Here is a 13,105-nt window from a genome sequence, read left to right on the forward strand (position 1 = left end):
CTGAAGAAGGGGCACCGCCCAAGCTCACACTCCCGGAAGACCCTCTTACAGGCCATGGGAACAGCTTTCCTTGCAATGTACCTGCCAACTTCCTGCACTAAAAACACTGATATGGATATCCAAATTACGCTTTGACACTTCTAACTGTAATAGTTTGGCTGTTACGTATTCATATGCAATATACTCTGCTTCCAAGTATGTCAATCATCATTTTGTATACTTTTTGCTGATAAGCAAGAAATCAAAATTTGCTTCATTTTTGAAAATCCATATTATGTAATTATACGATTTCTTAAATTATAAATAGTAATAAAAATAAACCAGTAAAAGGAATAGTTACCACTGAAATTAAATAGTCTGCTAGCTCATGGTGATCAAACAATGAAGCTCTGAAAAAACAGAATTATAAACATTATAATTAAAGTACTATTGATGTAAATAAAATGTATTTAATAAAGCTACTATATTCGGAAAGTGAATTTAACTAATCATAAAATAACATGATAGAATGTTAGAGAATTAGTAAGCTTTCAAAATTTATAATTTGATTCTGATTAGGGTAGCATTTTCAAAGTAATAATAATAGGAGAACACCAAATACATCATATTTTCTTCCTCATCCTTTAAGAAACCTATTTTATCTTGTAAAATCACCGTAAAGATGTTTGAAGTGAGTAGTAACGTCTGTCCCAAGATAGAAAAGACAAGGAAATCACTGGTATTGCTATGATCCTGGGGAATAGAACAGCTACATGTAAGGTGTCCCTCAAATTCACTTGCAGGTTCAAAAGCCCCTCTTTGGGGGGCTTCTCTTTGGCAAAAGTTAAAAGGCAGTGTTAGCTTTTCTGAGTTTTTATGAAGCCAAAAATAATTATGGAGAGAACTGAAAACATTTTGGTATCATCTCACAGGCAGTCATAAGCAACACCATAACAAATGTTAATACTAATGACTTAAAGCTTTGTGTTTCCTATCGCAAATCTCATTTCTTTGTTTCAAGCTTCTCTCAGCTATTTTTGGCCTTTTATACATAAATTTCAGAATCAGTTTGTTAATTTGATTGACAAGAGGTTGCATTATATTTAAAATATATTAATTATATTTAGTAATTATAAGGGAATAAATTCTAACATTAAGGCCCCATTTTCCTAAGATAATTTCTCATTATGCATATTAATATATTAAGGCTGTGTTCTAAAGATACATTTAACAATAACCAAATCATTGGGTTTGTAAATTGGTGAAACATTGGAATCAAAGAGTTTTTTTCTTTAATTCCTGAGATTCATCTTAAAGATTTTCATATCTTCTAGGTTATAAATTGGCACTGGGATTTTGTGAGCTACCCACGTGATTCTAATGTGCAACAGTTTGAGAATTTCTGGTCTAGAGGTTAGTCTATCTATTGAGTTTTCATTTTATTTCAATGGCTTTTTTAACTTATTTTTTACTGAATTATTTTCATATCACCAATCCTGGATTCATATACGACAATCTGTTTTTCACAATCTTACGTTATCTTCATATATTTAGTTTTATATAACTGATTATTCCTTCCTTTAAATTTTTGAAGGTCTCAAATATCTTTATTTTAAAATTCTTTTTGGAATGCCCTATTATTTCTATTTTCTTGGAAGTAAATTTGTCTTTGGTCAACTTCGTAGTTTTTTACTAGTTTTATGCTATTAAATTTTAGGTTGCAAATTCATTCTAAGAGGGAGTTCCTTTCCATTCACACATATCCTATTGTGCCTGGTGGTTTGCTGCGTGCATTTATTAGAAACAGATCTTATATTGGTAGCTATAGTTTCTTTTTTTTTTTTTTCTAAGAGATACTGTAGAATTCCAGGTCCAGTTGCCTATTGAAAATATATTGGCAGCTCTGACTGTGTGTGCTTGTGTGTGTGTGCACGTGTGTGTGGAAGAGACCAAGAGAGTGAAGGCTCATCTCAGATACCTCTTTCACTCACATGGGTAGCATCTGATACTTGTCTTTCCAAAAGAATTGAATTTCCAGTCTACAAGTAAGCCTATGGCTTAATACACTTTGCCTGATGTGCGTTTCTGTTAAACTTCAAATAAATTTGTTATTGTTTTTGGAAACTTGGTTATAATTTCCTAAAACTATATCTTTTGAAACCATTTATCTATAATTGTTGGTGAGCAGGAGGGATTAGTGTGGGGGTGACATATCCATATGTATCTGCTCCATTTTTATCACTAAAAATGGGGATAAAATAAATATGAGAAATTGGAACAGATTAGAAATGGCTTGGAAGACCGTGTATGTAGACTTCTTTAGCACATAGAAAATTAATCTTGAGCCTACATCCACTGGACTTGAATCAGAATATGCCACAGGTGATTTTATTTTGTGAAATTTCTTTAACATTCTACTCCCATTCCCAAGGAACATACGCGATTCCGGTTGATCCACAGGGTCTTTGTTATCTTTGCCCTTTTCCTTTGAACCACAAAATCTTTGCTAGCATTAGTGCTAACTGCTCCTTGCAATGTCTAATTTCACTCATGAAGATGAAAAATCTGTATACAGAATGATAGGTAGGAAACTTGCCTGTGAAGCATGGTCTCATGACATCCATCGGTTGTGTTAACAATATCCACGCTACCAGAATAGGACGATATCATCAGTTTAACAATCTCAGTGGCTCCCTGGGTGGCAGCAAAATGAATGGCTGTGCACCTTCCCTTCTGTAAAGGGTTTTAATGCTAGAATCAATGTTTAAATCTCAATGAAAGAATATAACTTATATTCAGCTGTGAGCTTTTTCTTCCCAGGTTCATAAAATCAAGGAATATCTATCAGGCTGATCACCATTAATCATCTGAAATGTGATAGATATTCCTTGATTTTATGGACCTGCAAAGAAAAGCATCCACAAACAAATTGTAGCTGACAATTGTGCTTCCTTCTAATATAACAACTCTTGGCATACACTTCCACCATTACTGTCTGGATGCCATTCTTTTCCCCAGGGAACATGAGAACAATGTCCCATTCATTGCTGTAAGCATTCAGTGTAGGAAGTGACTTCAGACCCCATACCACCATTGGCAGCTCTTCATTTCCATATTGAAGGGACAATATAGAAAAAGTTAAAAGGCAGTGTTAGCTTTTCTGAGTTTTTATGAAGTTTCCAGAAGCCACATGAGATTAATATCCAATCTTCTCTTCCTACAGAAAATACAGGCCTTTGCAGTATCTTGGAGGGGAGCTTGTTGCCACCCAAAACTCAGACATTGAAGGAAAAAGGGCCAGAACTCTCCACTTTTGGTCAGAGATGCCTGCCATAAGGTCAGATCCCAAACACAGTCAACACGTTCACATACATATTCTTAGAAATTAGTTAAGTGGTCCTTAATTTAAAAATGATAACTCTTCTGAGTAGGACTAAAGCCAAATACATTCATGATTGGGCTTTAATGTTCCTGGCTGAACATTATCATCTTCTGAGGGTAGGCCTTAACTTCTTTAATGGCAACTGCACTAGATATATAGTCTTTGTTGTATCTATATTTGTGTCTGCAATTGTTTTGGGGAGCTCTGAAAATTCTTTACATAGATTGAAACTTGGGATATTCTCTTGTTCTGCTTCTGCAGAAGCAGAAGGAAATATGTATTTCTTGTATGTATTTCAATCTAAATTAACTGTAAAAGAGCTATAAAGCATTTTATATGTTTATGACAACTCTAAGATAAAAGTGTTATATAGAATATGAAGAGTTACCTCCACTGGGTCTATTTGTGCACCATTGTCCAGGCACATTTTGATCATTTCCAAGTCACCATTTTGCACAGCCAGGTGGAGAGGGGTGGCTTTCCCATTATTCATAAAGTTAATGTGCAACTGTCTACTGTACCCATGCTCTTCACCTTGAGAAGAAAATAACATTCAACATAACAAATATATAAAATAAATAATAGGGAGGTTTTTTGTTAAAAAATATGAACAAAGGTAAAAAAACAATGAAAGGGCACCGAGACACATAAAAGCTTGTGTTTAATTCTGTTAAATATTTTTCAAATTAGGCCGGGTGTGGTGGCTCACACCTGTAATCCCAGCACTTTGAGAGGTCATGGTGGGAGGATCACGAGGTCAGGAGATCGAGACCAGCCTGGCCAACACGGTGAAACCCCATCCCTACTAAAAATACAAAAAATTAGATGGGCATGGTGGCATGCACCTATAGTCCTGTTACTCAGGAGGCTGAGGCAGGAGAATCACTTGAACCTGGAAGGCTGAAGTTGCAGTGAGCTGAGATCACACCACTGCACTCCAGCCTGGGTGACAGAGTGAGACTCCATCTCAAAAGAAAAAAAAAAATCAAATTAATAGCATCCACCAAAATAGACTTATTTATAGTATATAACATAGAAAAGCCTCAACTCACCAAACCTTAGTATTATTTCCATGCATTCTTTGGAACCTGAAAATGCAGCTTGGTGAATAGGGAAACATCCCCATTTATTTGATTTACATGGCTTAGCTCCTTTTTTAAGCTGGAAGAAAAGACAAAATGAAAAATGACACCAGTTAAACCCCAAATCGCAAGGGTGGATGAGAATTTATGTGCCTCTCCCATATCATTTTACTATTATATGTCTATGTAAAAGTACATAGAGAGCTTCATATGTTATGAAATCTAGGCAAGAAGGTAATTTTGAAGTAGACTAAGATTCTGAAATAGAGATATTTTATATCTTCCAAAGAAGTAACAATGTAGACACAACATCTATCTTGATACCACAGCAATAAAGTCAACACATTTTTCAATGGGATTAATGAGATTTTTGAAGACATTATCATGACTTCCATAACTATTTTCAGTTTCTTATGCAAATAAAGTGATATATCCTAGATTCTTTTCCCTTTATTTATGCAAAATTAATAAATGAATGTGCCACTACTCTTGTTAAGCCATGATAATCAAATATTTTCACTAATGAAGTTTCCTAACTAAAAAGATGTTAGAAGAACTGAATGTTATATTATGTTTTCATGTGATCCAATCATTTTAAACTACCATTCTCTGTAAATCATTAGCCTTCAGTTTTAAGTACCTCTAATTACTACAAGAAATTATTGTGAAAAAGTAGAAAAGTGTGAAGAAGCCAATACCACCTGTAATCTCAGCTTTTAGAGGTAGTATCAGTTTACTCTATACATAATAGTCCAGAAATTATATATATATAATATATATATATATGTAGAGAGTCCAGAAATTGAAGATGTACTCTGTAAAATCATATATTAAAGAATATTGTTAAGTAAAAGCTTTTTTGAACAATATTATCATACAGTATACACATAAATTAAACTTGCAAGGAAACCAGACTTTAAAAATATATTGTTTTCTGTAGTATTTTCAACAATACTTTTCTTTATTCCAATTTTCTTGTGGTTAATTTAAGGCTCTTTTCCTAAATTCTTGGTTTGAGTGTTAGTTAACTTATTTTTATTCTCTTTATCATTTATTCTCTTTGTGGTCCAATCATGACAGCTTAGAGTATGTACCTATCTCTAAGTCCATCTAGTAAAGGTGCTAAAACATATTTGTATGGCACATTTAAACATTAGGTAAATATTTTTAAATTATTTAATTGCATTTTCTTATTCTCTGAGATGGTGAAGAGGCAAAATCAAGTGGTAAAAATACAGATGCTGGCCTAGATAACATACAAGTAACTAACGAATATTTGAAAAAAGTCTATTTGCCGGCATTCTAACAGCACACTCAGATGGAGCACTGAGGAAGTCATGTAGACAATCATCTCCATCATCTCCATCATCTCCATCGCTTCACTGGACCACGCCAGGAAGCCTCACCAGAGACAAGGCTGGCTCTACTCTCAGGCATGTGGCTAAGAACCTTTGTCATTACATCATACAGGGCTCTGTTTTTGAGACCCAATGACAATAATTTCTTCAGGTCTTGGGAGCTGTGTTTCCTTTGACTTTTCTCTTATGGGCCAAATAAGTCTGCAACTGACTATATTCATCTTTCCTTTGACTATTCAGAAGCTCAGAATCATACATTTGATCCATCTTTATAACATCCAGGCCATTATACTTTGTATTTTGCATTCTAGCCTGACCACCAGCTTCATCTCAACTTTTCCTGCCTGTATTTTCTTTTCACTTTGATTTTCTCGAAATTTTCTTTACTGCTTTACTATTAGTCTTCTATAAGCAATCTCAGATCCTCTTAAGCAGGGAGTACATATACAAAAACACATAGAAAAACTTTTTTCCTGACCTAGTTTTTGTATTTTATATTTTTCTAAGGAGAAAAACTTAAGAGATTTTGTAAATAATAATAATCCATGTTGTATTCATGAAAAGATAAAGAAAGCAGACAGATATGACAAATATACAAACCAAAATCTGCAATGCTTCGCTATTATTTGTGGTGCACGCAATGATCACAGCTGTGTTTCCATTTTCTCCTTCCAAATTAACATCAATAGTTCTATGCTCAAGCAAGACCTAAAAAAAGGGGAGAATAATTGTCAAAATTTTTGCAGATTTCCAAATAAGGTACTTGCCTTCCACTAGAGTTTAAGTTTTCAAATACCAGGGACCATGTCTGTTTATCTTTTATTCATCCTTCTCTCACACAATCTGGCACAAAATCTTGCACATTGTGGGTACTAACTAATTTCCCCATTAGATGAAATAATCATGATTTCAACATCACAACAATCAAGGCAATACTGAGTTCTGGAATTATAAATAAAATAAGAATTATAGATACTAGTTATCATAGCTTCACTTAATACTTCTGACTTGTAGTAAGTGAAGTTATGTTAACTAATATTTTCAGGAAAATAAATTTGTGGAGCCATTAGAAAGTGCTCATGGTGGAGGGGGAAGAGAGGTAGGGAAGAAGGAAGAGAGTAAAAGAGAGAGAAAGAAGGAGGGAGGGAGAAAAAGCAGGAAGGGATTTTTTTTCTCCTCCAGTTATTTTTCTTTTACCTGGATTGCAAGAATTTTGGGACATGTCAGTGGACACTCTATTCTCTTCAGAGTTTTGTGTGGTGTAACCCAATTAATTCAAACTTGGCCTGGAATGGAAACTTTCTCTACAATGTAAGAAATTAGCATCCTGATAAAATGATCAAGCAATTTTTCTGATGGAATTTCATTGAAGATCTGTTACCTCCTCACCTGGTTGACTGCCATCTGATTACTGCCCAAGCATCTATAGGTCTTTGACTAGTCTTTATTTTATATTCAATGTAACAAAATTATCTCATATAAATGTCTCATCAAATCTTTGAATTGGCCTACTGGAGGCTTTTCCTCCTGCAGAAAGACTATGATAAATGATGACATGTCCTTATAATTAAATAATGTTAAAAGAATTCATTAAATCAGCTGTTTCTTAAAAATCTTGACTTCTTTGAAAAAAGTATGCAACCTCCTACCAGAGCCTCTTGTTAACAGAACGTATCCCTTGTGAGTGTCAGCAAATGAATTAGGTTTATTAATTAGCTCTGCTCATAAAGGAAAATTAAACTCAGATTTTAGTACATAAGAATAGGTGGAGAAATGATTGACGGATTAAGGGAAATGAGAACATAAGATTCCTTCCATGGACTTTAGGCATCATCGCATTCTGTTCTTAAGAAACTCTAGTTTCACATGGAAAATAGCTACCAAAGTCTACAAGAAGAGGCTTTTCTCTCTTTGCCCTCTTAGAATCATAGATCATAAAGGTATAGCTGTGTTCAGTTATATGTGGCAGGGATCCCAGAGAGAGCAACTAAACTGTGCACCTACTTCAAATTCAGTCATGACCAGGCAAGTCTGGAAGGTTTGGAGGTGAGCCCTCCACAGGTCCCTTGGTTGAGAATCTGGAAAGCCTCATGGAAGGGTCAAACAACTGGATAGTTTGAATTAAAGCCCCAAGGACTAAGGTCTGCAGGCTACTGAGAAACAAAACCACCCCCTGATCCCCAGGCCAATGTGTCCCAGGGAATATTATGCATACCATAAATCATTGTGCAAGAACTTGAAGTGATGCGTGGATGACAGTTTTTTACTTTACAACCATTATAGGCAGCAGAGGAAGGTTTGAGGGACGGTCAGTGGAGCAGTCAATGGAGCAGCTTCTAAACTGGCAGGGGCTGGGTGTTTACAGGCCGGACCATGGGCATAACTGGGAGAGGCACGTAGAAAAGATTGCTGTTTGCAAGCATGAGGGGAGACATTCCAAAAAACCTTCTCCTCCTTCTATTCCTGTCATCTCTGGTGAACCAGAGGAGTCTGAAAATATTTTTACACATAGTTGTGGTTGGTAAGACCAAATAAAGGAGAGTCAATTTTACTTAGAACTCTATTTTTCTGCTTGTCCTGGTGTCACCAGGAAAATTTGTTTTATGTCTATCACTGAGTTTATGAATCAGTTGGGAGCTTTATTTTCCATTTCTATGTGATACCTACCTTTCTGTATTTGTTGGTCTGGAGATTTCTGCTTTCTAATTAACAATAGTCTTTCAACAGTTACCTATCTTCAATTCCCAAACCACACTTTCACGGCCAATATTAAGTTAATAGGTATGTGTTCTTGAAAAGAGCCTTCAGAGGGAGCACAGAGCTCCATGAGGAAATATTTGATATCTCTGCGGGAGTCCCTGTAGTCACTAGTGGCCCAACCCAGATGATACAGAAATAGCACTTGGCTCATGAATAATGAATAAAAAAATAACAGCTTGTTGCCAGAGGACTTTCTAGTAACCTCTTCAGGGAGCCACCCTGACCCATCTCATAGGTACTGAGACTTCAGCTCTCCCCTTCTCAGTCAGCCAGAACTCCCATTTACTCATTCATTCATTCATTCAACAGCCATCATTTACCAGCACAGTGCTGAGGAATAAGAGATACTTGAATTAGTAAGACACACCTCTTCCCTCAAGGATAATTAGCCAGTAGGGAAGAAAAGCACATGAACATTTGATTCCAATATCACGTGTTAAGGATTTTAATAGAGCCACATACAAGGTACAGTAGGAAAGCAGAAAGTGGCTCCTCTCAAACCTTTTATGCCAGACTTAAAGGAGCCAAAGCCTCAGAGGGCTGAGAGAAAGTTTTCTGGGCTAAAGGGAGCCTGAAACTCATGGAACTCTTTGGATATTGTTTCTACCAGAAAACTTATTATAAGTTCCAAATAGCCTACCTTAGAAATGAACTTCTGGAACATGCTCCATTTGTAAATTGCATTCTTCATCCTTTAGGCATGTTTGTGTTCTAGGGTGTTTGAGAGACTCTGAGATGTAGTTTAAAAACCATGGCCTAATTCTTACCCTTTAGCAATTTTCCAGGGTTTCCTCTATTTGACCGAACTTACTCTTACACCTTGAAAACCAATAGGATGTTTCCCAGTGGTATCCTTATGTCTTCTGCTAACTAATCTGTCTGACAGGCCATCCATTCTAACAAAAATAGAGAATCATAATTATGTTTTCTGTTTTCACTGAGTCTCTCATTACCTTCCTCCTTTTAGTCATTAAATCAGTCAGGTAAAAGTGATAAAGCCTAAATCTGAAAACATAAAGATGAAAACAAAATTCCTTAGTCTTGCATTTTTACTTGTGGTGTGATGTTAGCCAAGTTATTCAAATTCTTTTGGCACCTCAGTGTACTCAGCTATGAAATAAGAATACTAGTGGAATTACTTCATAGTGGGTTTGCTTAGATGAGAATTCAATAAACAAACACACACAAAGCTCTCATGAAAATGCCCGGTAAATAAGAACTATTCAATAAAGTCAAAACTAATCATCATCATCATCATTAGTTAGTGAGAAGTAAAGCAAATGTAATAATTGCATTTTGTTTGCCATGGAAGCTTAGAAGGTGCTCATCCTGGTGCAAGCAGAGAGAGCTGGATCTGGGTCCCAGCACCTGCACCGCCGGTCAGGCCCTTTGGAGCCGGCCAGTAGCCTTACCTTCATCACCTCATTATTCATGCCCTGCACAGCTATGTGGAGAGGAGCCATCATGTTGAAGTTTCGGAGATTTGGGTTTGCTCCTCTGCTGAGAAGAAACTTAACGCTTTCAATTTGGTTTTTTTCTACAGCACAATGCAGAGGGGTATTTCCATAATCATCCATTTCATGCAGCACTAGAAAAAGAAACCAGAATATGGATTAAATTTTGCTTAGACTGTATTCAACACCTCCTGAGTGCCTATACACTATAAAACTCAGTGCCAAGTGCAAATGAAATCAGCTGCATCTTTTTATGGAAACTAAAAACACAGCTTCAGTTCTAACGAAACATTTAATGGGAACCTAGTGGGAATATATAGAAGCATGAGAGTGACTTTATGAATTGAGTTAAATTTCTATAGGTAGCATTAATAAGAAATAGATCCTCCTATTGCTATATGTTTTTATCTATATGAGTTTTGGGATTGTAATAAAATATTGGGATTATATAAAAGCAAGAACTATGTCCCAGGCACTCTGCTAAGTTCACATGACCATTATTTCATTCAAGCCTCCAATAGCCTGCAAAGTAACACCATGACAAATTTTCAGAAGGAGGAAGATGTTGAGGTCCAGAGAGGTTAAAAGTCTTGCCAACATCACAGAGCTAGTAAGGAAGTATGAAAGTTACCATACTTCTCTGAACCTCAGCTTTCTTGTATTCAAACTTGGTAAAAAAAAAATTAAAAAAAAAACATATATTCATATACCTACACACACACACAGGGAGAGAGAGAGAGAGAAGAGAACGAGAGAGAGAGAGACCTTGTGATGTTGCAATGTTACTGGGACAATAATACTAAGTCATGTCTTTAAAGATCACAGCAGAGTGCCTGGCCTGTAGCAATGATTCAAAAAATGTTAACGAGAAAAAAGACACACTACTAATAAACCACAGGACTAGAATTTGAGCTTAAGCCCCTGATGCCACAAGTGGTTTCCACATATTTCTGCAATACCATATATGGTACTATGTACCCCGTGAGCTCAGCATATAAGTAATATGTCTTTTCATCCTGCAAAGTCCTATAGCTATTCTAAAATAGACATGGCTGTCTGCTTTATAAGCCTTGTAAATTGGTGGCAGTATATCTTTACGTCCAGGAAAGGAGAAAAAGTATTTGCTCATAAATATGATTTGGAGACCATCTACGGTACATGGTACTTGGAACCATATAGCCATGTTTTCTGTTTCTCTCCTTTTTAAAATGTGTCTCTCCACTATTTCCTTTCATTCATCTAAGTGTTTCATTCTAAACAATACACACACACATGCATGTACACACCCACACACACACATCTCTTGACCGTTCTGTCTGATCAAGAAGAATCACTCCATTCATCATTCCATTTGGCGCAAAACTTAAACAGGGATCTATACTTACAAACTCCCATTCACTAATTAAATAACTTGAATTTGGCTTTTATCCTCATCCCTTTTCAGAAATCATTTTTATTTTTATAGAGGTCACTGGACCCTTCTAATGTAGGGGCTTTATCTTGATCTCCTTCCTACTTGATCTCTTTGTGGCAAGGGCTCCTTCTAACTCTTCTGTCCCCGTAACTTCACCCATGGCATGTGTATTTTCACTATCTTCATCTTTTTCTGGCTTTTCCTCTGCCATCTGTCTCTTGATGTTGGTACTCTACTCTTAGCTACCTTTGCTAGCAATTTTGTGATCCCCTAAGGGATTTTCACACATTTCCACTGTCTCAGTGACTTCCTGTGCAATCACGCTCCTGTAGGGCAGGCCCTTTCCTTCTACATTTCTGTTGTGTGCTGGATATTTCCAACTGGATGTCCCCTGGGCCTTTGAAACTCACTGTGACCAAATCTCATACCTTCGCACTCACTTCCTTTCTGTTTTCTCATATTCTTCCTTTTGGGGGATGATTAAATTATTAGCCTAATCTCCTAAATTTAAGAATTTCAAAGTCAGTTCTAACTCCCTGCCCTTTCTCTTCCCATTTATTTTGCTGTCGAGCACTATTGACTTTATACACCAATATCTCTTGAACCTCTCCCTGTCTCCTTTTTGTAGCCTCACAACCCTGGTGAACTCTTATCCTCTCTTTACTACCAAAATAGCTTTTTAGCTTGGCTTCCACTTCTAATCCATCTTCCACAATATTGACAGAATTATCTTATATAGCAAAGGTCTTATCACACCACTTCACTGCCTTCATCTCTGTGGCATCCACCTCCTTCATTGTCTGCAGTTGAATTTCCTAAACAAGGTAGAGTGTACAAGGCTGGCATCTGGAAAACATCACTGTGGGAGTATGGTACACCTTCTTGAGGTGTCAATTTTATTTAATGATGATAATTTAAATGTAAAATAACCTCAATGGAAATAGTATAAAGGAATACATAAAATGTACATGCATTCTTACAATCTACCTAAAAATTCAAATGAAGTCTGTGCTTGTTGTGGGGTGTCCTAGATCTCTGTAATATGCTTTGCAGTATTTCAGTAGAAGAAGTTGAGGAGTGCTGGTGTGTAGGAAAACCCACAATTCTAAGTGAAATATATAGGCTCTTTATAATTAGCACTAATTACCCTTAAAAATCACTTCCTTCCATTCTTTCTAGTTAATTGAATGGGATGAATGATTTCTGGAAGATGAATTGTAATATTTTGTTACCTTCCAAAGAGGAATCTCTGGTGATCTTCTCCATTAGCTCAATTTGGCCTTCTGCTGCAGCATAATGCAAGAAGAAGGTGTCCATATCGTCACATCTTTTTAATTTCTTTTGCTTATTAAAGTTTTGTAATCCATATGCACTTCCTTCAAAAACCACCTAGAGGTATTTAAACACCATTATACCAAACAAGCATATGCAAAACTTATGGCTATAATCATTTTATAGCCTGAAAGAACTTATTATTATCCAAAACTATCTATCATGCTTATATGAGGTAAATATTTTTCTTGAAATACACAAAATGTTTACGGACACAAAGAAGGTTTGAGAAAATGCCCCAAGATTGATCAACACATGAAATAAATTTTTTTATCATGAACTCATTCATATATGCTTAGAAATAAAGGCCGTTCTTCCTCATTGTAAAGGAAATGCAGAAATCT

General features: G+C 36.1%; 1 protein-coding gene across 3 annotated transcripts in view; it reads right to left on the bottom strand.

The window, feature by feature from the left end:
• TRPA1 (transient receptor potential cation channel subfamily A member 1) overlaps window positions 1-13,105 on the bottom strand; it is a 68,761-nt gene that overhangs the window by 37,800 nt on the left and 17,856 nt on the right. For all 3 annotated transcript variants that reach the window (XM_011517625.3, XM_011517624.3, NM_007332.3), the window contains 7 exons: window positions 12,662-12,818; window positions 9,974-10,149; window positions 6,402-6,509; window positions 4,414-4,522; window positions 3,750-3,895; window positions 2,576-2,712; window positions 341-389 (listed from right to left, as the gene is read on the bottom strand). In XM_011517625.3, coding sequence (XP_011515927.1) covers window positions 341-389; window positions 2,576-2,712; window positions 3,750-3,895; window positions 4,414-4,522; window positions 6,402-6,509; window positions 9,974-10,149; window positions 12,662-12,818 — 882 coding nt within the window. The remainder of the gene's footprint in view (window positions 1-340; window positions 390-2,575; window positions 2,713-3,749; window positions 3,896-4,413; window positions 4,523-6,401; window positions 6,510-9,973; window positions 10,150-12,661; window positions 12,819-13,105) is intronic.

The sequence above is a fragment of the Homo sapiens genome, chromosome 8 (genome assembly GCF_000001405.40).
Source record: "Homo sapiens chromosome 8, GRCh38.p14 Primary Assembly".
NCBI classification, from domain to species: Eukaryota; Metazoa; Chordata; class Mammalia; order Primates; family Hominidae; genus Homo; species Homo sapiens.